Below are 26,736 nucleotides of genomic sequence, written 5' to 3' on the forward strand. Positions count from 1 at the left end.
AACATCATACAAATAAGATATTTAATCAAATTTTCCAAAGAGACTTATTTTACCAGCCCCTTCCCACCCCTTATTTTTTTTTTTACTACCTTTGATGACTGCTGTCCCAAATGTCGTATTGGTTGTGTCCATGCCTTTTGGTAATCCTGGTGCTTGATCGTGAGATTTTCCTAATGGTGCTCGTCGATTGCTAAGATATATAGATTCTTTTTTATCTTTAATTTTCTGTTGAAATGTGGTAATAGGCTGTGGGTTTATCAATGTGTTTGCCTAAAGAAATCATACAATGCACAAATATATCAACAAAAAAAGTATAAATCTGAAAATAGAAACCCTAATCAATAGCTGGGGAGAGGAGACTGTACGATTGTGGGAAAACATTTCATTATCATTATTGGCTTTGCTCACCTTCAAATGAACTGTCAGAATTGGCTATGAAGTTTAAACACGCCTACAAGAACTTTCTAATGAGTTAAAAGGTTTCAGTGATACTAAAAGGTTTACAATGATAGCTTCCAGGTTACTTGACTCAAATATTTAAGAAAAGTGGTGCCAGGTGTAGTGGCTGACGCCTGTAATCACAGCACTTTGGGAGGCTGAGGCGGGCAGATCACCTGAGGTCTGGAGTTTGAGACCAGCCTGGCCAACATGGTGAAACCCCATAACTACTAAAAAAAAAAAAAAAAAATTAGCCGGGTGTGCTGGCACACGCCTGTAGTCCCAGCTACTCAGGAGTCTGAGGCAGGAGAATGGCTTGAGCCCGGTAAGTGGAGGTTATAGTGAGCCAAGACCACACCACTGCACTCCAGCCTGGGCGACAGAGTGAGACTCAGTCTCAAAAAAAAAAAAAAAAAAAGAAGAAAAGTGAAAATGAAAAGCACAAGAACCACTTGACTTCCAAAAGTTCTCTTCAGATATAGAGATCAGGTCTTCTGAATCTAGACTGTGCATTCAATCAATAGCAGATAACCAACATTTTGACTCCACCTCTACTCAATGTCCATATAAGTATTCTATAGTGCCTCTAGGCAAGTCACCAAGACAGTCTTTTTTTGTTTGTTTGTTTGTTTTTGAGATGGAGTTTCGGTCTGTTGCCCAGGCTGGATTGCAGTGGCATGATCTCAGCTCACTGCAATCTTCACCTCCCGGGTTCAAGTGATTCTCCTGCCTCAGCCTCCCGAGTAGCTGGGATTACAGGCGCCTGCTACCATGCCCCAGCTGCTTTTTTTTTTTTTTTTACTTTTAGTAGAGACAGGATTTCGCCATGTTGGCCAGGCTGGTCTCAAACTCCTGATCTTAGCGGATCCCCCTGCCTCAGCCTCCCAAAGTGCTGGGATTACAGGCATGAGCCACCATGCCCTGCCAAAACAGTCCTCTTTATTGTCTAACACAACCTGACAGTATTTCTCTTTATTGTGAGAAAATGGAATGCAACTAGGCTTTTATCATTTGAGAGAACAATAGATAGTTTGTGGCTTAAACTATTAATTTCTTCACACTGTCTTGGCTGCTGCTGCTTGGCTTTTTTTTACTGCTCAAGATAAATGCTTTTGGAAGACAGATTGAGAAAAGCCTAGTAAAAATATGGGTGGGAAGGAGATTGGAACTGATGAATTTCACTAATACCTGATTTGTGCATTTTCACCTTGGTAAATTAATAATGTACAAGGAAAAAAAGAAAATAACTTACCAGTACTGAAATTTTAGATCTAATTCCATGTGTCAAATAAGGTGCAATCTGGGGATCATTTGCTCTTCCGTAAAATACTCTTTCTACTCCAGCAGGTGGATATCTGAAGTTGAAATACTTTTTTGCTTCAGGTGGAGTAATTAGCTACAAAGAGTGAGGCAAGAAAATAGTATTAAGTACAGTTTCTAAAAATATTAACAGGACTGATCTATACCAATCAACCAACAACCTTAAGTGCATGTATGTAGTAAATGCATTTGGAACTACAGCCCCAAATAATGAACATCCCCCTAAAATGTATTTATTTATTAATGAAAGTAAAAAACATTTTTTTCCATGACACAGATCCTGAGAACATGTGTCCTAAACAACATATTTTAAATGTTGTATTTAGAAAACAACCAGGAAGTATCCAGGTTACAAAGCATACCGTTATTCCCACTGAAATAAATTGAATCCCCTGTAATTGAATCCCTGTAGAGCTAGAAATTGTAAGCCTGGGATTTTCACTTTCTTGGACAAAATCAATAGAAGGCCTCAAAATACAGCAAAGAATCCAAATTGACCACATTAAGTTTATACCACTTTCATAAGGAACGTTGAGTTGCCTATTCCTTAATGTTCACATAGAAGGTAAAAATAGAAATATAAAGGTATATTGAAAGTGCTCACCCTGGGAAGTTTTTCAGTCAAGCAGGTTGCAACTCTGTAACCAACTGGAATAACTTTTCCTGCCTTTGGGGGAAAAAAATGGGTTGATCATTGCCAGGGTGGAAGAGGAGCATTTTGAAGAATGAAATTTATTTCAAACTTGTCCTATGCCTCTGAGGCTACAAAGTTACTTTTGACTAACATAAAAAAGGAAGAACAAATAGTAAATGTAAAGCAATCTTCATACGTAACAAACATTAAATGCTATGTATATATTATAAACATTTATAAAATTGTAAGCATATATTTTTACAGCACTAACATTGTTAGTGATTCATCCAGTTACAGGAATTCTGTGACATGTTGAGGAATTCAACCTTCAGAACAATCTTCTCATAGATCACAGGTTAATTATTCATTGTTCTATATAACAGTGAAATAGAAGTATGATCTTTGGGAGGCCAAGAAGGGAGGGTTTCTCATGGCCAGGAGTTCGAGGCTACAGTGAGCTGTGATCACATCACTGTACTCCATCCTGGGCAATGGAGCAAGACCTTGCCTCCGAAAATAAATAAATAAATAAAATTTAAAACTGAGAGAAAGAAACTAACTTCCCATAGTGTTCTGGGTCTCTGGAAAGAGTAGAGAGCGACAGAGAAAGAAAGAGAACAAACAGACAAAAGCAGAGAAATTGAGAATGGAGTGGAGTGGATGGATGAATGAGTAGATGTGGGTGAACATATGAATGAATACATACGGGTAGGTGAAAGTTTATTATTATGTTAAGTGTTGAGTGTGGAATTCCTTTTAGTGAGAGAGTCTTTAGGGTTTAAGAGACTGTCTTGCTGACATCTCTAGGTATAAAAGAGGAAGCCCACAGACATAGCCAGGCAGAAAACTGAATTGCTTTGTTAAAAAAAAAATGGGAGAAAATATGATCTTTGTAGTGTCTAATGTTTTAATATGAATTATTAGACTCCAGTTTGAAAGGGAGGGGCAAAACAACTTCTGATTAGATACATGAAGAAGGAAAAATCAAGGAGATGACAAATAAATTGAGAAAGTGTGTGGAGTCCAAGGTCTAGCAACAGGGTGAGAGGCTGGGGGGGCCAAGATGGGAAATAAGACAGTAAGAAGCAGCCCAGTCTTAATGCTGTATCTTCAGTAAATTCTACCCACACAATTACATTGTGTGAGAAGAACTTTGTGTAAAAAAAGAAAGGAGCTGTGTTCTGTGTTCTAACCTGGGCAAAAGCAAGACTGAGAAGATGGAGAAGAGATATAGTGAGATTTTTTTTAATTCAGTTGTAAGTTATAAGAAATCTCACTAATACCAGGGAATATTGTCTCTCTCTATACTTAGGATACGAACTCAAGTCATTTTTAAAAATACGAAGGCTGCCAGGCAAGGTGGCTCACACCTGTAATCCCAGCACTTTGGGAGGTCAAGGTAGGTGGACCATTTGAGGTCAGGAGTTCAAGACCAGCCTGGCCAACATGGTGAAACCCCGTCCCTTCTAAAAATACAAAAATTAGGCAGGCATGGTGGTGCGTGCCTGTAATCCCAGCTACTCGGGAAGCTGAGGCAGGAGAATTGCTTGAACCCAGGAGGCAGAGGTTGCAGTGAGCCGAGGCCATGCCATTGCACTCCAGCCTGGGCAACAAGAGCAAAACTCCATCTCAAAAAAAGAAAAATAAAATTATGAAGGGAATCAGAATATGCTGTCCAAAAATATGCCACTTTTGCATATGGATTATTCTGAGCTGAAGGCAGTTAAGAATCAGCAGATACAGGAAGAGTTCAACACTTGGAAGAAGGTGTGGTAAAGCTTGGATATGAAAATAGAAAGATTGGTTGAAAGTGTGTATTCAGGGCAATTGTATCCCCAGTTCTTCTTCATCCTATGTTATCCTTGTCTTCACACAAACTCTCAACCCCTCTTGCCAAACTGTGGATGTGTTTTTGCAAAGGGGTTTTGTAGCCAGAAACATCAAACCCAAGGTAAGGTAGCGGGGCATTAATAGGAGCATTAATAAGTAAAAGTATACTTTCTGTAATGCATTTCCTCTAGCTTCCTCTCCCACTGGGCCCTGGAAAGCCAGCAGCCAGGAGTTAAGCCAGCCCTCTAGCCAGTGGGCAGTGTATAGGAAAGGCAGTAGCGCATCATGAATATAAATAGAGATTTGGAAGCCAGCTTTCTTGGGTTCAAATATCTGCCAATAAATAAGCTGTGTCACCCTGTTACTCAGCCTCAATTTGCTCACAATGGAGATGGTGATAACAGTACCAACCTCATAGAGATCGTTGAGAATTAAATGAGTTAATACATATAAAACGCTTAGAACAGTGTCCACACATGCTATGTGCTATATAAGTTTCAACTATTATTACATTACTATTCTCTGGAAAATCTGAATAACCTAGAAGAAAAAAATTAATATTCGGGACTCTCCCAAAATAAAGGCTGCCTCATCTCTTCATCACCCTATAACAATGCCCCAGCCAGATGCAGTGGCTCACACCTGTAACCCCCAGCACTTTGGGAGGCAAAGGCGGGCGGATCACAAGGTCAGGAGTTCAAGACCAGTCTGACCAACATGATGAAACCCCGTTGCTACAAAAAAATATAAAAATTAGCCAGGCATGGTGGCGCATGCCTGTAGTCCCAGCTACTTGGGAGGCCCAGGCAGGAGAATCACTGGAACCCAGGAGGCGGAGGTTGCAGTGAGCCGAGATTGCGCCACTGCACTCCAGCCTGGGCAAAAAGAGTGAAACTCTGTCTCAAAAGGAAAAAAAAAAAAAGCCCCAAGGTAAACAAGCCATGCAACACACACACAGCTAATAATTTTCTTTGTAGTACCTAATGTTTCATTTGTTTTGTTTTGTTTTTGAGACAGGGTCTGATTCCGTCTTCTAGGTCAGACTGCAGTGGTGCAGATGTCAGCTCACTGCAACCTCTGCCTTTCAACCTCAGCTCACTGCAACCTCTACCATCCTCCCACCTCAGCCTCCCTAGTGACTGGGACTACAAGTGTGGGCCACCATGCCTAGCTAATTTTTGTATTTTTTTTGTAGAGACGAGTTTTTGACATGTTGCACAGGCTGGTCTTGAACTTCTGAGCTCAAGTGATCTGCCTGCCTTGGCCTCCCAAAGGGGTGGGATTACAGGCATGAGCCACCACGCCCAGCCTGCCTAATGTTTTAATATGAATTATTAGACTCCAGTTTGAAAGGGAGGGGCAAAACAAGCTAATAAAAAACATACACAAACATAGAGGGAATAGGAAAATGTAAATAAACAAAAGAGATTACCTGAGAGATATAAGATGTTGCATTTATTGCATTTATAAAACTATATTAGAAATTCTAAAAGACAACCTGAGAAGAAATAACTCTTTAGAATTTAAATATGATAATCTAAATAAAATTTCTACTTTTCACCTATTGTTTTAATATGTACTGATGAGCTGGGCATGGTGGCCCATGCCTATCATCCCAGCACTTTGGGAGGCTGAGGCAGGAGGACTGCTGGAGCCCAGGGTTCAAGACCAGCCTGGGCAACAAAGTGAGACCCTTATCTCTTTAAAAAAATAATAATAACTAGTGATGATTCTTTCCTAAATCATTATTCCTATGATGGTTGCCAAATGAGGACTTTCTAATTTTAGCATTCTTTCTATATTTATTAATTGCATTATACTGCAAGGAAGTTTTCTTTTCTCTCTCTCTCTCTTTTTTTTTTTTTTTGAGACAGAGTCGTCCTCTGTTGCCCAGGCTGGAGTGCAGTTGTGTGATCTTGACTCACTATAACCTCCGCCTCCCAGGTTCAAGTGATTCTCCTGCCTCAGCCTCCCGAGTAGCTGGGAATACAGGCACATGCCACCACGCCCGGCTAATTTTTGTATTTTCAGTAGAGACGGGGTTTCCCTATGTCGGCCAGGCTGGTCTCAAACTCCTGACCTCGTGATCCTCCCTCCTCAGCCTCCCAAAGTGCTGGGATTACAGGCATGAGCCACTGCGCCAGGCCTTTTCTCACTATTTATTCACACATTTATGTATTTACATCCCTATGTACTCGTGGATTTCTATTTTATTCAATGGTAATTTTATTCAATACTCAATGTACACCAGTTTGGTCTAGGGGAAGACTCATCAACCTTGTTTCTTCAAGTTTGTTTTATATCTGCATGATTCTTTAGGATTCTTCTCATTTTTTTGCTCATGAGGATGTTCCATGTTCATATTGTACTTGCCTGTGCAAGTCCTAGAGTCAGCCATTTCTCCAAGGAGCTTAATTTCTTTTCAAAGAGAATAGTACATGGCACATGTATACATATGTAACTAACCTGCACATTGTGAACATATACCCTAAAACTTAAAGTATAATAATAAAAAAAAAGAAATAAAGATCTGGATTTTGGTGTGCTCTTTGCTACTAGAGAAATACCGCTTCTAAGCTCTCTTAAATAGAGTTAGGATGGCCGGGCGCAGTGGCTCACACCTGTAATCCCAGCACTTTGGGAAGCCGAGGTGGGCGGATCACGAGGTCAGGAGATCAAGACCATCCTGGCTTAAACGGTGAAACATCTCTACTAAAAATACAAAAAATTAGCCGGGCATGCTGGCCGGCACCTGTAATCCCAGCTACCCGGGAGGCTGAGGCAGGAGAATGGCGTGAACCAGGGAGACGGAGCTTGCAGTGAGCCGAGATCCGGCCACTGCACTCCAGCCTGGGCGACAGAGCTAGACTCCTTCTCAAAAAAAAAAAAAAAAAAATAGAGTTAGGAAATGTATGAATAGACAAACACCCCCGCACACTTGCATGTATATTGATCCTATAATATTCTGTCTAGTTAAATGTGTGTAGTTAGAATCCATGGTCATAGATATATAGATATATCATAAATGTATATGAATACCTCTAATCACAATCCAACACAACAGGATTCATTCTATTCTCCTTTCCATATTTATAACACTTTTCTCTGTCAGTGAGAAAAGGGTTATTGTCCTAAATAACCCTGGCATTATTGTCCTAAATATATTTACTTATCTGCTTAGGCTTTCTGTCTGTAACCCAACTCCAAACTGCACCAACCATCTCCTTGCTCAGCTGCCTCTTTGCTCGGTCCCTAACAACACCGGAGACACCTTGCTTGGCCACCTCCTCACTCAACCCCCAGTGTTACAGGCTTTAATGGCCAAGTACCTCTTTCATTTATCATACAAGTGAGTCCCAAGATTCAAGTCAACTCAGGAAGGTTGATATAAGACCATTTTCAGCTGCTCAAGACCCACAGACCCATAATCATCACACCACCTTCCACTCTTCAAACTCAATGTGGGTTAGCTTAATGGTTACAGCTCTCCCACTTGCCCTTGGTCAAGATCCCTCTGTTTTACTCAGAGAGATCCCCAATTCTAAACATCTCAGAGAGCATTAGGAGTGATGGTACCCATTCCCTTTCTGCCCAGAAGACACTGAATCCATTATGCAAATAAAAACATCCAATTCCCAGAATTCTGCAGAGATTAGCTTTGGAAATTCATACAAAATAAATCTTTTTACCTGGTATTTTCTCCAATACCAGGGCCTGCATAACTAGGAAGGTCCCACAAGATTTATTAACAGGTGGCACCTTTCCCTCCACCTATTCCCAAAATAGCTGTCAGGTTCTACTAGTATAGAACAGGAAAAAGCAAGGCACCCCTTTGCATGACATTTGTCATATCATAAAGTCATTTGTCTATTGGTCTCCAGTCTCTAAGTTCCTTGAATGCAGGTAGTATGTAATTTTTCATCTATGTGGCCCCAGCGTTTATTTGTGTATGGGTTTTTTGGTTTTTTTGGGGTTTTTTTTGTTTTTTGGGGTTTTTAAAATTTATTTATTTATTTTGAGACGGAGTCTCGCTCTGTCGCCGAGGCTGGAGTGCAGTGGCGCAATCTCGGCTCACTGCAAGCTCCACCTCCCAGGTTCACGCCATTCTCCTGCCTCAGCCTCCCGAGTAGCTGGGACTACAGGCGCCTGCCACCACACCTGGCTAATTTTTTGTATTTTTAGTAGAGACGGGGCTTCACTGTGTTAGCCGGGATGGTCTCGATCTCCTGACTTCGTGATCCCGTCTCGGCCTCCCAAAGTGCTGGGATTACAGGCTTGAGCCACCACGCCCAGCCTGCTTTTTTATTTTTATTTTTGAGACAGTTTCACTCTTTTGCCCAGGCTGGAGTGCAATGGCATGATCTCAGCTCACAGCAACCTCCGCCTCCCGGGCTCAAGTGATTCACCCACCTCAGCCTCCTGAGTAGCTGGGATTACAGGCGCCTGTCACCACACCCGGCTAATTTTGTATTTTTAGTAGAGACGGGGTTTCTCTATGTTGGTCAGGCTGGTCTCGAACTCCCAACCTCAGGTGATCCACCCGCCTCGGCCTCCCAAAGTGCTGGGATTACAGGCATGAGCCACCCCGCCCGGACTTGTTTTTGTTTTTTAAATAGGATCTCACTCTGTCAACCAGGCTGGAGTGAAGTGATACCATCAGAGTTCATTGCAGCCTCAACCTCCCATAGCCCTATGTTATCATGGACACTATAATTTTTGTAAACTTCCCCTTGAAGCTTTCCTTCCTTCTTCGTCTTTCTATTCCAGGGCTCAATATCATTTACCAATGCACTTTGTATGCTTCAGATGTTTTGTCTTAATAACTCCAGGTTTCTGCCTTAGTCAGTGCATTGATGGAAATCAAGGGACAGTCTCGGGATAGCTTAGAAAATAACCATTGTAGAGATTTTGATCTCTGACAGTGTTTTTCAAAAGTCAAGTGCCCTTTCAAGGGCTACCAGGCCTCCACACAGAGGACCTCCTTTCACAAGAATCTTTTTGATTGTTTAAGAACACACCAGAAATCTCTCCTTAGGCCAGTATTTCTTGGAAACTTTTCCTTCCTGCACTGGTTCCACATCCATGACTGTTTTACTAGAAGAACTTGCCTGATGGGTCTCATAAATCCAACAGAGCAAACCTTCACCCGCAACTAAACACCAACTTTGGGCAGCAACTTCAAACCATAGGATGAGTATTCCTGAAATAAGGTGTATCTGCTCTTCCTCGCTCAAAACTGGAAAGATCTCTCATTAAAGTAAGTTCTTCCAGTTCCCTGAATGCACCCTGATGCAAAGTGATTATCCTCAAGCATTGATCTTGCAGGTTATTCACAATGGGGATTTTCATCTAAACTCTCCTCACAGCCATGCTTGACACTGGGTTTCAACCTCACCCAAATGCACTTCCTTCCTACTCTGAGACTCAGGGGCATCAAATACTTTACCATCCCATCCCCTGGTCAGGATGTTAGGGATTGCCTTCTCTTCCTTTTTCAGCTGTTTGAGTTTAACCAAGCTTACAAGAAGTAAATAATACTATAAATACTGTAGTATATATAAACAAATACTATAGTATATATATAGTATATACTATATATATAGTAAATAATATAGTAGCTAATACTATACATAACATATAAAGAAAGCATAAAGACAGTTGGAAAGCTGGGAAGCTTCTCAATTCTTTTTATATACTAGCGTTACCCTAATACCAAGCACAAAAAGAAAAACTACTGTCTAAATTTACAGAGAACCACAAATACAAAAATCCTAGTGAAACACTGGCAAGTCAAATCCAGGGATATATTATGAACATAATATATCACAAGGAGGGCTTAGGCCAAAAATATGAAGATGGTTTACCCTTAGAAAATGAACTATTTTAATTCAGAAAAAATATATATTTCAATAAATGTGGGAAAAGCTTTTCACAGATTGTTTAGTCCTGATTTTTAAACTTTCTTAGCAAACTGGAAATGGATACAAGTGTTCTTAACTTTAAATATCAGAAATCTCCCACAAAATCACATGTAATAGTGAAACATTATAATCATTCCCATCAAAATCAGAAAAGAGACCTTGTTGTTGTTTTGTTTGTTTGTTTGAGGCGGAGTCTCGCTCTGTCGCCCAGGACAGTGGTGCGATCTTGGCTCACTGCAACCTCCGCCACCCAGGCTCAAGTGATTCTCCTGCCTCAGCCTCCAGAGTAGCTGGGATTACAGGTGCCTGCCACCACACCCAGCTAATTTTTTAGTTTTTAGTAGAGACGGAGTTTTGCCATATTGGCCAGGCTGGTCTCAAACTCCTGACCTCAGGTGATCTGTCTGCCTTGGCCTCCCAAAGCACTGGGATTTCAGGGGTGAGCCACCGTGCCCGTCCAAAAGACATTGTTTTTAATATTGTATTTTTTTTCTTATCATAGCCAATGCAGTGAGGTAGGAAATAGAGATAGATGAAAGGTATAGATACTAAAGAGAAAAGGACAAAAGTGTCAATATGATTGTCAACCTAAAATATCCATACACAAGCAAAATAGTCATTAAAAAAGGAAATAATGATAAGCAATTATGACTAATAAGAGTTCAGCAAGGTGACCACACACAAGGATTAAAAAAAAATAAAAACAAACATATGGAGCAATTTTCAATCTAATTATAAGTTAAAGAAACATAAATTAAAATAATGCCTAACAAATTATTATGATTTTTAAAATTTATTGCTACAATCTTTTAGGAAGAGATTTGGCAATAGAAACTAGAAAAAGATCCATGCTTTTGGCTTCTGCTGAAACTCTATCCTTAAGCAAATATTCCAATACATATAAAAAGACTTTTTTTTTAACTTTTTTTTTTTTTAAGAGACAAGGTCTCACTATGTTGCCCAGGTTGATCTCAAACTCCTGGGCTCAAGCAGTCCTCCCACTTCAGCCTCACAAAATGCTGGGATTATAGGCATGAGCCACCATGCCTGGCTGACAAACTATTTTATAGAAAATTCTGGAAGAATAAAAAATGAATACCCAACAATAGAGGGAAAGAGTTAACTAAAGAATTGGCTTGGCCAGGTGTGGTGGCTCACGCCTGTAATCCCTGCACTTTGGGAGGCTGAGGTGGGTGTATCACGAGGTCAGGAGTTCAAGACCAGCCTGGCCAATATGATGAAACCCTGTCCATCTCTACTAAAAATACAAAAAATTAGCCGGGTGTGGGGGCAGGCACCTGTAATTCCAGCCACTCAGGAGGCTGAGGCAGGAGAATTGCTTGAACCCAGGAGGCGGAGATTGCAGCGAGCCGAGATGGTGCCACTGCACTCCAGCCTGGGCGAGAGCGTGAGACTCCATCTCAAAAAAAAAAAAAAAAAAAAAGAATTGGCTTAAATATTTTTTATCATTAAAAGATCTTTTTGAAGTCTTTGTAGTAATAGTTAAATCTTATAAATAACAAATGAAAAATCAAAACAAATTTTGCACTCGATAATAACAACTACATAAAAGTGCATTTGGATAAAAGTGTCATAAAAAGTATAGAGTAACTAACAACTCAGGCTCTCAAATAGGAATTTGAGATTTCAAATCCCACCACTTTTTAGCTATATGACTTTAGCCGAATTACCTAAATTTGCTTCCATTTCTTTACCTGTAAAATAGGATTTAGTAATAGTAGATGACTCACAGGTTGCAATAAGGGCAAACGAATTAATACCTGCAAAGGTCTATGAATAGCCATATTAATATAGTAAGCCACCAATAAATATTAATAATCGTGAAACAGTAAAGTGCTAATAGGCATTGTGTTAAGGTGATAAGATTCTAGGCATTTTCATCCCTGTTTTCTAAATTTTCTATAATGTTATTATTCTTGTGTTATAATCAAAATAAATATTTTAACATCTTAAAAATTATTTTTAAATGAAGCCTTGTTTCTAACAAAGTTAGAATCCCTCCTCTTGCCTATAATCCTAATTCCATTCCCTTCCACTCATCTAGAATCTGGTTCCACCCATTCTCTTCCTTTGTGTTATCTCAAACTCCTCCACTGATTCACTAAATAATAAGATTTCTAAGTGGAATATTTACTCTTTCTCTTCACTGTCATACTTCTTAAGAGAAAAAAATTTCATGATAGCTTTCTCCGATTCTAATAACCCATTCGCTCTTCAGTATATTATAATCTGAATTCTTTTTCTATTATGTCGTTCTAACAATGTTGGTAATTTCTTAATGTCCAAAGTTAATTAATCTTATTTTTACTTTATTTTTAGAGACAGGATCTCATTTTGTCACCCAGACTGGAATGCAGTGGTGTGATCATAGCTCACTGGAACCTTGAACTCCCAGGCTCAAATGATCTTCGCACCTCTCCCAAGTAGCTAGGACTACAGGCACATACTACCACACCTGGCTAATTTTTCTTTTTTGTATAGGCAGAGTCTTGCTATGTTGCCCAGGCTGATGACAAACTCCTGGCCTCGAGAAATCCTGCTGCCTGCTGGGCGTGGTGGCTCATGCCTGTAATCCCAGCACTTTGGGAGGCCAAGGTGGGCCGAACACTTGAGGTCAGGAGTAGGGGACCAGCCTGGCCAACATGGCGAAACCCCTTCTCTATTAAAAATACAAAAATTAAATTTAGAAAAAAAAGAAGGAAAAAAAATTAGCCGGGTGTGGTGGCATGCTCCTAGAATTCCAGCTACTGGGAGGCTGAGGCACAAGAATCGCTTAAGCCTGGGAGGCCGAGTTTGCAGCAAGCTGAGATTGCACCCCTGCACTCCAGCCTGGGTGATGGAGTGAGACTCTGTCTCAAAAAACAAAACAAAACAAAAAAACCCTCCTGCCTCAGCCTCCCAAAGTGCTGGGATTACAGCTAGTGCCACTGCACAAGGCCTATCAGAGATGATTTAACACTGCTGGTCACTCTCTCCTTGACACTCTCTTTCTTGTCCTATCACATTTAGAAAGGAAGGTATGCGAAGTGGGAGGAAGCAGAGGTTTTAGAATTGCCTGTGCTGGAAACTGGAAGCTGGTGTCTGCATGTGTGTGAGATCAGATCAGATCAGAAGCTGTAAATTGCAGAACCAATCCAGAAATGGGAACCGGTGTGGTCAAGTAAAGTGGCTGGGAAAACCCAAAGAGGAAACCAGAAAGCAGTGTGAGACAAAGAAGAAAAGAACATTCTGAGTCTGAAGGGGAAAAGTCTTCAAACCCAGACAAAATTCTGTGGAAGCCCTGTGACCTCTTCAGCTGAGTTTTATTTTCAAATTTCAGTGTGTGGAATCTCTTACTCACATTATAACTTAAGGACACTTTCTTATGTTTCTCAATACCAATGTCTCAGACTTACTTTTTTCTTCTCCGACTGGTCTTTCTCCCATTTAATCATCCGGGTTTCCTTCTATTTATCAAACATGTATTTATTGAATGACCACCATAAGCCAGGTATTGTGGTATGACATGAAGGTAAACAATGAACAAGATATAGTCCTTGCCCTCAAGAACTCACCTTATTGACATCTTTTTCACTGACCACCTCATGTCAATGTTTCCCAAGATTCTTGCCTTGACTTTCTTCTCCCATTCACACCCATGGGGCATCAATTGTCTCATATTACCAAGTGTTTCCCTGGCTTCTTTACCTGTCATCTCATATTGAAGATAGCCAACACTGGACATTCATTTGCCACCAAACCCAAAGAGATCATTATCAACACAGAAACTCCTGAGTCATCCACCAACTTCCCTTACTCACCACGTAGATCCACAACTGAGTGGCAATTTTTTAAAATGTCATCTAAAAACCTCTCAAAAGTGCAGTCTCCTTTCTATTCTTTCTAACTCTACATTAATTCCAGTCCATCAGAACTTTGGAATGTTGTTCTAACTACCTACTTGTCATTCAGTATCTCCCCCTTCCAGTCCATCATAACTACTGATATCAGAATTATCTTTCTAAAAGGCAAATTTTATTTATTTTTACCCTTATTAAGATCCACCATTGATACTGTATCCATATGTTTTATCCCTATATTCTGGGCCTTTAGATGTCTTCTACATATTTCTTCTTCATCTTCATCTCTCAACACCCTGCTGGCTGAATACAACTGTTTATGCCTCTCGAACATAGGAAGCTTTGGTTGTGCTCTATACCTTTTTATGCCCAAAATGCTCTAACCTCATTCTTTCTTCAGACAAATACTGACACCTTTCGATGTTAGCTCAAATATTACTTTCCCTATTAAGCTTTTCCCATCTCTTCTAAACAGAATTGTGCAATCTTTACACTGAGCTCTGTATTCAGAGTGTACTTCTATGAAGGAAGAATCATGTGTGTTTTTATAAATTTAGATAACTGTATACTATTCCTTTAGTTATCTGTCTCCATTACTGGAGTGAGCCTAAACCTAGAGGTAGGGACCATGTACTTTTCAATTTAGTTTGTCCTGTACCTGGCACAATGGCTACCACAAGTCTTTGCTGAAAGAACAAATAACTCACAGACTAAACAATGAATGGAAAAAGAAACACTTTTCTTTTCCATTCATAGTATGAATATTAGGGCACAGCATGTATCTTCATGTATTTCAATATGTGAGAGGCTTGAGGAAAATGAAATGAAGGTTAAAGGAGAAAAGAGAAATCAGAACAAACCACCGGTGTGCAGAGAAAACAAAGCTGACATCTAGGAAGGGAGGCAGAGAATCAGAAATCTAAGTAACATCTGCAAAGATTCCAGTGGGGCAAGAAATATAGGAATCTCATAAAATCCTTGTGATTTGTCTCTTCAAACCAAAACAAATTTTATCACTTTATCATCTCAATAAAGACATGGCTATACACAGTTTAGTTCCTATGGAAAGTGGAAAAAAACTTACACTTGGCCAGCAAGGGGTCCGATCAAAAAACTTCCCAGAGTATATGGGTCTGATGCGATCTGGAGGTTCCACTCCTGATTCAATGTTTCCAGCCTCCTTTCTCTGTTCATGTTGTTGGGCAAACTGGCATTGGGGAGGTTCTATCACCAAGCCCATTTGGGGCTCTGTATTCTTAGTCTCATCTGGCCCCTCGGCTTGGGTTAGTCCAATGTCCACCTCCACAGGAAGCTTAATCTCTGTGTTGGGTTTCATTAAAACACAGGTAGACTCTTTTTCCATTTCCTGTCTTGGTTCCATAACGAAAGCAGGCTTTCCCACTAATTCCTCTACCCCTTCAGGGCCACTAGCCAAAGGAGCTCTCCTGCTCCCTGCAGCCTGTGAACTTCCACACACCCTGCCCAAAGGAGGCTGTATTATCCGTTCATGGGTATATCCTGCAAGAAGACTCTCATTTTCTAACCCCATTCTTCCTGGCAACAGAGAAGGTTTTGTTCCCTGTGAAGCTGAGACACTGTCGACTCCTAAACTACCCCTCTGCATGACAGTCCTAGAAATATTCTGTCTTTCTAATCCCATTTCAAGCCCCTTGCTCAATGGAAATTTTGTTTCTGGTGGTGCCATCCTTCCCTCACACTTATTACTAACCACAGGGCTCTCCCCGCATCGGGAATCTTCTTTTCCTAATCCTACTCTGATCCCCAACTCCATGGGAAATTTTGTTCCCATGATGACCCTCTTGTCTCCTAAATCATCCTTTCCTTCGTGGGGATGTCCAATCTCCATGTTCATGGACGATTTCTCCCCATTCTCATTTCTCCAAGAGCGCTCATCTCTAAGGGGAAAGCTGTACCTGGCTACAAAGACGCCTCCAATCCCTTGCGGAACCCCTCTCTCAGGAAAGAGCACAACCTCACTCGGACTCCCTGTCCATTGCTTCCTGCCTGCCTCTTAACACCTAGCCGAGTTCACAGAGGAAAAGATGGAGTCTGTTTATCAGGTTACCTGGGAAACAGGGGCGGGGCTTGGCGCTCAAGTCCTGCTTGGACAGATCCCTGCCCATCTCTCATTCTTCTCTCTCTCTCTCTCAATCTCTCTCTCTCTCCCCTCTTCTCTCTCCTCTGTCTCTCTCTCTCCCCTCTTCTCTCTCCTCTGTTTCTCTCTGCCCCCCCTTCTCTCTCCTCTCTCTCCCTCTCCTCTCCTTTGCCCTCTCCCTCTCTCTCCCTCTCTGTGTGTCTCTCTCTCTTGCCTTTCCTCTCTCCTTTCTCCCTCTCTCCCCTCCCTCCCCCTCTTCCCCTCTATCCCTGCTTCCTCTCTCTTTTTCTTTGCTAGATTTGGAGGGCGAGAAAATTTGAGTGATGTGGCTTTCGGCGCATCAAATGTTCACCAACTTCTCTGGTTTCCCAAGCAACACAGTCGTTTTAGAATGGTTTCAACAATTGGCTTCTTCCTGGCCATTGGCCTCTTAATGTTGGTGATGATGAACAAATAAACTTTCTGGTGATGAACACTTTTTTTAGGTCCTTCCTTGTCCAAGTACCTCCGCCCTGCATGTAGTTATTTTAGTGCTAAAAAATGACTTTAAATTCTAGAAATATTATATTTGACAACTGTGGCATAAAGACATCTTAAAGTCCTTGAGAACACTTACACTTTAACAACTAGGCTTTAAATCACATTTAAAGTAATTTTTTTTTTTTTTGAGATGGAGTCTCCCTTTGTCGCCCAGGCTGGAGTGCAGTGGCACAATCTGGGCTCACTGCAAACTCCGCCTCCTGGGTCCAAGCGATTCTCCTGCCTCAGCCTTCCGGGTAGCTGGGATTACAGGCATGCGCCACCATGCTAGGCTAATTTTTGTATCTTGAGTAGAAACGGGGTTTCACCATGTTGGCCAGGCTGGTCTCAAACACCTGACCTCAAGTGATCCACCGCCTCGGCCTTCCAAAGTGTCGGATTACAGGCGTGAGCCACTGCTCCTGGCCTAAACTAAATATTTTAAAGTTTGAGATATGCTACACAATAAGGCATATTGTATTTTAAAGATAATGTGGCAAACTAAAACTTCATTGTTTTTAAGTAGGAGATTTTTTTTTAAATTGAGGTTTCACCTTTCAGATTTTAATGAAAGTATATTTGGTAAATATTTGTCATGTTCTACACATATAGGATATGAAACCCCTAGCTTGGAATTTGAACTGAATTAGGCTGGGCACAGTGGCTCACACCTTTAATCCCAGCACTTTGGGAGGCCGAGGCAGGCAGATCACTTGAGGTCAGGAGTTTGAGACCAGCCTGGCCAACATCGCGAAACCCTGTCTCTACTAAAAATATAAAAATTAGCTGGGCATGGTGTCCAGCGCCTGTAATCCCAGCTACTCAGGAGGCTGAGGCAAGAGAATCATTTAAACCCGGAGGCAGAGGTTGCAGTGAGCCTTGATGGTGCCACGACACTCAAGCCTGAACAACAGAGTGAGATTCCATTTAAAAATAAAAAACCAAAAATGGCCGGGCGCAGTGGCTCATGCCTGTAATCCCGGCACTTTGGGAGGTAGAGGCGGGTGGATCACGAGGTCAGGAGTTCGAGACCATCCTGGCCAACATGGTGAAACCCCGTTTCTACTTAAAATACAAAAATTAGCTGGGCCTGATGGCAGGCGCCTGTAGTCCCAGCTACTTGGGAGGCTGAGGTAGAAGAATCGCTTGAACCTGGGAGGCGGAGGTTGCAGTAAGCCGAGATCACACCACTGCACTCCAGCCTGGCGACAGAGTGAGACTCCATCTCAAAAAAAAAAAAAAAAAAAAAGCAAAACAGAATTTGAAAAGAATTTACAGGATTCCAGAACTCTACAAAAACCCCTTAAAATCCAAAAATATTTTTTTAAAAGTGTGTAGGGGTCTGGACATAGTCACTCACCTGTAATCTCAACACTTCGGGAAGCCAAGGCAGAAGAATTGCTTAACGCCAAGAATTCAATTAGCCCAGCGTGGTGGCTCACATCTGTAGTCTCAGCTATCTGAGAGGCTGAAGTGGGAGGATCACTTGAGCCCAGGAGGTCTATGCGGCAGTGAGCCATCATTGCACCATTGCATGCCAGCCTGGGCGACAGACTGAAAAAAAAAAAAGTCCAGGAGTTCAAGACATGCATGGGTAACACAGTGAGACCTATCCCTACAAAAAATTTCAAAAATCAGCCAGGTGTAGTGGTACATGCCTATAGTCCTAGCTACTCAGGAGGCTGAGGTGGGAGGATCACTTGAGCCCAGGAATTGAAGGCTGTAGTGAGATATGATCATGCCACTACACTCTAGCCTGGGTGATACAGTGAGATCCTGTCTCAAAAAATAAAAATAAAAAATAAGGCCAGGCGCAGTGGCTCATACCTGTAATCCCAGCACTGTGGGAGGCCTAGGCGGGTGGATCATTTGAGGTCAGGAGTTCGAGACCAGCCTGACCAACATGGTGAAACCCTCTTTCTACTAAAAATACAAAAATGAGCTGGACATGGTGGCCAGCACTTGTAATCCCAGCTACTAGGGAGGCTGAGGAAGGAGAATCGCTTGAACCCAGGAGGTGGAGGTTGCAGTGAGCCAAGATTGCGCCATTGCACTCCAGCCTGGATGACAAGAGCCAAACTCCATCTCAAAATAATAAATAAATAAATAAATAAATAAATAAATAAATAAATAAAAAGTGAGAAGGATATACTAGGGAGGCTGAGGCAGGAGGATCACTTGAGTTCGAGACCAGCCTGGCCAACATGACGAAACCCCATCTCTACTAAAAATACAAAAATTAACTGGGCATTGTGATGCTCACTTGTAATCTCAGCTACTCGGGAGGCTGAGGCAGGAGAATCACTTGAACCGGGGAGGCAGAGGTTGCAGTGAGCCGAGATCGCACCACTGCACTCCAGCCTGGATAACAGAATAAGACTGTCTCAAAAAAAAACACAAAAAACTATTTTCTACAACTTTCTAGAAGGTTAATATAAATATTCTTCTCCTTAGTTCTTTTTTTATGGTGCCAAATTTAAATAGTTTTATTTAAGACATTGCATTTTCCATTTGCAATACAGTGTTTATAAAGTGCAATGTTATTTCCTTCCACATGCACATGTTCCATACTCAAGTATTGAGAATGCCCAAGAATTTACTATAGCAGCTCAATTTTTAAACTGCTACAGACAGTCATATTGTGACCATGAAGAAGTATTCTGAAGACAAAGCTAACACACACAAAATAGGAGAGCACCGAGATCATCAGGACCAAAGCTCTGATCAAACTGTACCTAAAACTCACATAACTCTAGACTTACCAGTCACATGGGCCAATGTCCCTGCTTGACTCACATTTTCTGTTATCTGTAACTGAAACATCTTTATGTCTACCACACTTAACAGTCAACATCCCTTAAGACTTTACCTCCAGAAAACTTTTCATGGCTGGTAAATACTCTTCTCTCTTTTCCTTTGAGCTCCTCCAGTACCAAGAGTCTGAGTCACTCACCTTATCACTTCTCTCTCTCAGACATACACACATACAACAAACGCTTGTGGCATATTTGTGGTATTTTACCTAACTTTCTGCCCTTCCCTTGGTTATAGCCCTGACCCTGGTACAAGATAACATTCAACATTTGTTACACTAAATTGTGACTGTCAGTGCTTCTGTCTCCTCCTCCCCTGAAGACTGTTAGCTCCTGCGGCCTGACAGTCCCTTGACTCAACTCCTCTCTACTTCAATGTTTTATGCTTTGACCCAAAAAGACGGGGCTTAGTAGTGAGAGAGGTGGAAGACTGAAGGGCATCCATCCGAACTTGTTTACTAACATTTATGTGTTCTTCCCTAGTTACCTGCCTCCATGCCTTTGCTGGAGAGGGAGCCACCTAGGTTCCCTTCACCTGGAATGTCTATTTTCACACATTCCAAACTCAAGGCCAACTCTGAAAGGAGAAAGGGCTGTGATTGACTGGGAAAGGACATGTGGCAACTTTCTGAGATTACGGTAGTGTTCCGTATCTCAATAGGGATGTGGATTACACAGGTATATACATTTGTCAAAACATGAAATTATACTCTTAAGACGCTTGCATTTACTTCATTTTATGGATATTTGAACTTTAAAAAGGTTCACATATTGAACTCTAGTAAATGGCATGCATGATGAAATGTTTAAAGGAATGTGTACACATGCTCATAATTTTGAAATGCATAAAGTGTTGATACATGGCTGGACATATGTGATAAAGCCAAGTGTAGTAAAATGCTAATTGTAGAATCTGGGTGGTAGATATATGGGTGTTCACAGTACAATTACTTTGATTTTCTGAATGTTTGAAAATGTTCATCATAAAATGTTAGGAAAAAAATAAGAGATGTGGGTCAACATCTCTGGTATCTTCACAGTCACAGACTTGATTTAGACCTCATTACATCTTAACTGGAATCTTGCAATCACCTTTACACTGGCCTTCATGTTAGCCCACTGCAGTCTCTCCTCACCCCAAGGATCGCCAGAGAGAACCTTCAGAAGCAAAAATTGGACCTCCGTGATCCAGTCTCTGCCAACCTCTTCAGCTTTATCCCTGACGCTTGCCACCTTACTGCGGCCTGTACTACAGCTCAACCCAGGGCGTGTAGTTCCACTCGCACACTGGGCTATTTTATGACTTTCTGGTTTGCTTTTGTTTTGTTTTTGAGAAGGAGTCTCACTCTGTCACCCAGGCTGCAGTGCAGTGGCACAATCTTGGCTCACTGCAACCTCTGTCTCCAGGGCTCAAGCGATTCTCCTGCCTCAGCCTCCCTTGTAGCTGAAACTACAGGCACCCGCCACCATGCCCAGCTAATTTTTGTACTTTCAGTAGAGACAGGGTTTCACCATGTTGGTCAGGCTGGTCTCAAACTCCTGACCTCAGGTGATCCACCTGCCTTGGCCTCCCAAAGTGCTGGATTACATGCACGAGTCAACATGCCCAGCCTACTTTATGACTTTCTGCTTTTGCCCCTGTTGTCCCCCTTGCTTGGAATGCTTTATTCCAACTCATCCTCTGCCCTCCTTGCCTGGTAAATGCTCTTCAAGACTCAACCCAGGGATTACTTCTTCCCAGTAGCACGTCTTGCCACTCAAACTGGGTTGGGTCTCCTTTTTTTTTTTTTTTTTTTTTTTTTTTTTTGGGATGGAGTCTCACTCTGTCGCGCCCAGGCTGGAGTGCAGTGGCGCGATCTTGGCTCACTGCAAGCTCCGCCTCCCGGGTTCACGCCATTCTCCCGCCTCAGCCTCTAGAGTAGCTGGGACTACAGGCGCCCGCCACCACACCCGGCTAATTTTTTGTATTTTTAGTAGCGATGGGGTTTCACCGTGTTAGCCAGGATGGTCTCTATCTCCTGACCTCGTGATCCGCCCGCCTCGACCTCCCAGAGTGCTGGGATTACAGGCGTGAACCACCGCACCCGCCCATGGGTCTCCCTCTTTCATGCTCCCATAGCACCTCAAACTTATTTGTAACAGTATTTATCCTACTATGATCTATGTGGGTTTCCATGTCTGTGTACTAAACTAGATGCTCCTTGAAGAGCAAGCCTTCTAATAGAATGCACAGGGTCTGATCTAAAAAAGGCTTTGATAAACCACTGTAAAACCGAACAATTGATATTGAACTGGCATGGATGACACTCTGGCACCCTCCAACAACTTAGTGTTATAGATTTGATTGTATCTCCTCTACAGGAGTTTAAGGCCCACTGCCCCTATTGACTCAGCCATCTTCCGACATCTCTCAAACACCACCTTCCTCATGAAGACTACTCAATTTCCTGCCCCAGTTTGGAATGATCTGTCCAATTCCTTTAAAGGCTTACTTTCTATGTACTTCTTTTTTTATGAGATTACAGGCCTTTTTAGGCAAATTTTGACTGGGAAAAATTAAACTACATTGACTGATCAAAAAAGAAAAAAAACTGCCACAGAATTTGCTACATATTTGGGTCCTTCAGTGTTTTAAGTGTGTGGAACAATGCTACATCTGTACTTGGGCTGGCTTATTCAGTGTTGGGCCCTGAGAAAGCACCATCAGAGGGAGGAGATCCACCAACAGTGAATCCCCTAGGCATTCCTCCTGCACTCTGCTAGAGCTTTGTAATGATGGGATTGCAGACTCTCTCCAGCTCTTTCTGCTGATGTTCAAATTCTTCCTTCTCAACAGCCTGATTCTTATCTATCCAGTTAATAATTTCATTACGCCTGACAAGAATCTTCTGTTTGTCTTCATCGTGAATCTTGCCTTGAAGTTTCTCATCTTCAACAGTTGCTTCCATGTTGAATTCATAGGATTCAAGGGAATTCTTTGATGACACCTGTCTCTGCTTCTCATCTTCAGCTTTGTACTATTCAGCCTCCTGGACCACACATTTAATGTCTTTCTTGCTAAAATGGCCCTTGTCATTAGTGACAGTAATCTTGTTCTTTTTCCTGTACTCTTGTGCACAGCAGAGACACTGAAGATGCCATTGGCATCAATATCAAATGTGACTTCAATGTGAGGAACACCTTGGAGTGCCAAAGGTATGCCTGTGAGTTGAAACTTGCCAAGCAGGTTGCTATCCTTGGTCATGACATGCTCACCTTCATAAACCTGAATAAGCACATCAGGCTGCCTGTCAGAGTAGGTAGTGAAGGTCTGTCTGCTTGGAAGGAATGGTAGTATTATGCTTAATGAGAACAGTCATGACTACACCATCGGTTTCAATACCATGGGAAGGAAGAATGACATACAAGAGCAACAAATCTTGAGCATTTTCAGATTTGTTGCCAGACAGAATGGCTGCTTGGACAGCTGCACCATAAGCAACAGCTTCATTAGGGCTGATGCTCTTATTCAGTTCTTTTCCATTGAAAAAGTCTTGGAGAAGCTTCTGAATCCTGGGGATAAAAGTAGAACCACCATCCAGGAAAATATCATGAATCTGTGACTTGTCTAGTTTGGTGTCTTGAAGGGCTTTCTCTATAGGGTCCAGGTGTCACAGAACAGGTCAGCATTCAGTTCTTCAAATAGGGCATGTGTAAGAGGTATAGACATTGATTCATTCATAGAGAAAATGGATCTCAATACTAGCCTGGCTGCTCAAGAAAGAGTGTACTTAGCATGTTCACAAGCAGTATGGGGATGTCAGACAGCTCTCTTATTCTCACTGATGTCCTTTGTATGCTTGTACTTGAACTCAGCAATAAAATGGTGGACCACTTGGTTGTCAGTGTTTTCCACCTAAGTGGGTGTCTCCTGCTGTAGATTTCACCTCAAAGATTCCATCCTCAACAGTGAGGACTGACACATTAAAAGTGCCACTTCCAGGTCAAGCGCAATGGCTCACGCCTGTAATCCTAGCACTTTGGGAGGCTGAGGCAGGCGGATCACCTGAGGTCAAGAGTTCAAGACCAGCCTGGCCAACATGGAAAAACCCCGTCTCTACTAAAAATACGAAAATTAGCTGGGCATGGTGGTGCATGCCTGTAATCCCAGCTACTCGGGAGGCTGAGGCACAAGAATCGCTTGAACCCGGGAGGCAGAGGTTGCAGTGAGCCAAGATTGCGCCACTGCACTCCAGCATGAGCAACAAGAGTGAGACTCCATCAAAAAAAAAAAAAAAAGGCCAGGAACAGTGGCTCACACCTGTAATCCCAGCACTTTGGGAGGCTGAGGGGGGGCAGATCACCTGAAGTCAGGTGTTTGAGACCAGCCTGGCCAACATGGTGAAACCACGTCTCTACTAAAAATACAAAAAAAATTACCCAGGCGTGGTGGTGGGCACCTGTAATCCTAACTACTCAGGAGGCTGAGGCAGGAGAATCACTTGAACCTGGGAGGCAGAGATTGCAGTGAGCCGAGATCGCACCACTCCAGCCTGGGTGACAGAGCGAGAATCCATCTCAAGAAAATAAATAAATAAAAATTTAAAAGTACCACTTCTAAGGTCAAAGATCAGCACATTTCATTGAGCTCCAACCTTTTGCCTAAGGCATAAGCAATAGAAGCAGCAGTTAGCTCATTGATAATTCTCAGTACATTGAGATAAGCAATAGTTCCAGCATCTTTGGTAGCTTTGATGCTGAGAATCATTAAACCAAGCTGATATTGTGACCACAGCATTGGTAACACTCTTTCCAAGGTAGGCTTCTGCCATTTCCTTCATCTTTGTCAGAATAACAGAGCAGCTGTCCCCAACCTTTTTGGCACCAGGGACCAGTTTCATGGAAGACAATTTTTCCACAGACCAAGTTGCAGGGGGTAGGATCGGGGGAAGATAGTTTTAGGACAATTCAAGCACATTACATTTATTGTGCACTTTATATTATTATTACATTGTAATATATAATGAAATAATTATATAACTCACCATAATGTACAATCAGTAGGAGCCCTGAACTTGTTTTCCTGCCACTAGACGGTCCCATCTGGAGGTGATGGAAGAGAGTGACAGATCATCAGGCATTAGATTGTCATAAGAAGTGCTAGATCCCTTGTGTGTGCAATTCACAATAGAGTTCACACTCCTATGAGAATCTAATGCTGCCACTGATCTGACAGGAGGGGGAGCTCAGGTGGTAATGTGAATGATGGGGAGCAGCTGTAAATACAGATGAAGCTTCACTGACTTGCTGCCACTCACCTCCTGCTGGGCAGCCAGTTCCTAACAGGCCACAGTCCAGTACCAGTCCATGGCCCTAGAGGACACCTTTCTGGACAGAAGTTTTTTTTATCTCTCCCTTGTATTCTACTTGGACCTTGGGCCTGCCAACATTATTCACTACCATGAAGGGCCAATGCTTCATATCAGACTGGACAACAGCATAATCAAGTCTGTGTCCAATCAGCAATCAGATTTGGCATCAAAAACTGTGTTCATGGGGTTCATTGCAACTTGATTCTTTGTGGCATCACTGAGCAATTGTTCAGTATCAGTAAAGGTGACATAGCTTGGAGTGATTCAATTTCCCTGATCATTGGCAATTACCTCTATTTTTACATGCTGGAAAACACCCACACAAGAGTAGATGGTGCCAAGATGAATACCAACTGCAGGTCCTTTAAACAGGGTTGTTTGCATGTAGGCCGGATTGGATTCTGAAGAAAGACATAGGAACCCCAAAAGTGGCCACAGCATTCAATAAATCCCCATAAATTCTTCAAATGACTTTGCAGTATGTAAATCCAGGTAAGGGCTCATTCAATTCATTCATTCATTCTACAAACAGGTATTGAGTCCCTCCCTATTTTGTGTCAGTGTTGGGAATACAGTTAGCCCTCTGTATTCCATCGAAAGTATTTGAGTTAAAAAATGAAAAAAACACAAAATAATACAAATTAAAAAAATACAACTATTTACATATCATTTACATTGTATTACTTATTGTAAGTAATCTGAAGATGATTTAAAGCATACAGAATAGCCTACATGCAAATACTACACCATTTTACATGAGACTAGAGCATCTGCAAATTTTGGTACCCATATGGTGGGGGAATAAGGGAGTGTCCAAGAACCAATCACAAGCAGATGGACTGACTGTATAACCCAACCCCTATCTCATGGAGCTTATATTCTAGTAGGGATAGATAACCATTAAGTGGAACGATGCGTAATATCATATCAAATGGTGCTAAGTGTTATGAAGACAATGCATAATATCATATCAAACAGTGCTGTTATGAAGACAACAGACTACTTCGATATGTAACAAAGCATTTAGAATTAGTGGGCTTAGAAGTCCCTTAGGTAGATGACATTTGAGCTGAAGCCTGAATGATGCCCTCCAAAGACACAAGCTTTTGAAACATGACTAGCTTAAGTTTTCACAGCCTTTTATTCACTGACTTGCTACTACGCCAATGTTAGAGTTACCGTTGGTTTGTCTCCAGGAAAAATTTTGAATTGTCTCCAGACAGTTCCAGTTAAAAGTAAATGTAACCATTCATTATCATCTATGCAAAGATTCATTCTTTAGCTACACAAGGGAGGACAGATTTCCTGGAAGAGAAGGAAAAGGTTATGGGATCCTGTGAATGGTAGAGAGACACCTGCCACTGGGAATTTGTTATTGAGTATTTAGAGATTTGAGGGCAGTATAAGCATCAAAGACAGTGTTTAAGTCTTCATGATTATTTATCCATTTTGTACCTTCCTTAACAAGTTCTATCAACTGGTAGGACTCCACATTTGACACTAAAATATATACAATTATCAGTCCTCCTCAGTTATCTGGGGCTATGAAAAAGAAAACATAGGCATATTGCAAGTGGCAATAAAACAACAGAGCTTTACTGTGTCATTTCAATTTCTCTAAAACTACTACCGGATCTTTAGAAATGCCAGCCACCAGGGCAGCACTCTTCCAGGCAAACATTATGACTAAACTGTAAAATATTGTGAAAAGTATTCATGAAGGAGGTGAAGACAAAATCACTAAACAGGAACGAGTGAAGAAGCAACATACTGGAACGATGAAATAGGGAGTTTTTTGCAATTTATAAATTTCAGCATCAAATGTTTTTCATTGTGAGGTCTTCTTAATGTTCGTGATTCTAAATGTAATTAAGTTCACCAATACTTTGGGGGTCCCTATTATAGCAGTCAAGGGTCTTCTGTGAAGAACTGAA

The 26,736-nt window shown here is 41.7% G+C and overlaps 1 protein-coding gene and 1 pseudogene across 7 annotated transcripts in view, besides 1 other annotated feature; both read right to left on the reverse strand.

Moving 5' to 3' along the window:
* Positions 1–26,736, reverse strand: part of EFHB (EF-hand domain family member B) — a 67,512-nt gene that overhangs the window by 38,671 nt on the left and 2,105 nt on the right. For 4 of the 7 annotated variants that reach the window (XR_940383.3, XM_005264889.3, NM_144715.4 and 1 more), the window contains exons 1-4: positions 15,088–16,075; positions 2,363–2,425; positions 1,691–1,834; positions 90–270 (exon numbers count right to left, since the gene is read on the reverse strand). Coding sequence is in view for 6 of the 7 variants with exons in the window: in XM_005264889.3 (XP_005264946.1) it covers positions 90–270; positions 1,691–1,834; positions 2,363–2,425; positions 15,088–15,876 (1,177 nt within the window). In the remaining variant the exon portion in view is untranslated. Of the gene's footprint in view, positions 1–89; positions 271–1,690; positions 1,835–2,362; positions 2,426–15,087; positions 16,076–17,998; positions 18,193–26,736 lie in introns of those variants that run through there. The other 3 variants (NM_001330688.2, XM_011533385.3, XM_011533382.3) reach the window with 3 other exon arrangements.
* Positions 13,075–13,369: a silencer, noted in NCBI's record as "tiled region #12217; HepG2 Repressive non-DNase unmatched - State 24:Quies, and K562 Repressive DNase matched - State 5:Enh". NCBI's record gives its function as "represses a minimal TATA promoter and a strong SV40 promoter by Sharpr-MPRA in HepG2 and K562 cells {active_cell/tissue: HepG2 | K562}" and the evidence as "EXISTENCE:reporter gene assay evidence [ECO:0000049][PMID:27701403]".
* On the reverse strand, positions 22,039–25,231 carry HSPA8P18 (heat shock protein family A (Hsp70) member 8 pseudogene 18; annotated as a pseudogene).

Source organism: Homo sapiens, chromosome 3 (genome assembly GCF_000001405.40).
Source record: "Homo sapiens chromosome 3, GRCh38.p14 Primary Assembly".
Classification (NCBI taxonomy): domain Eukaryota; kingdom Metazoa; phylum Chordata; class Mammalia; order Primates; family Hominidae; genus Homo; species Homo sapiens.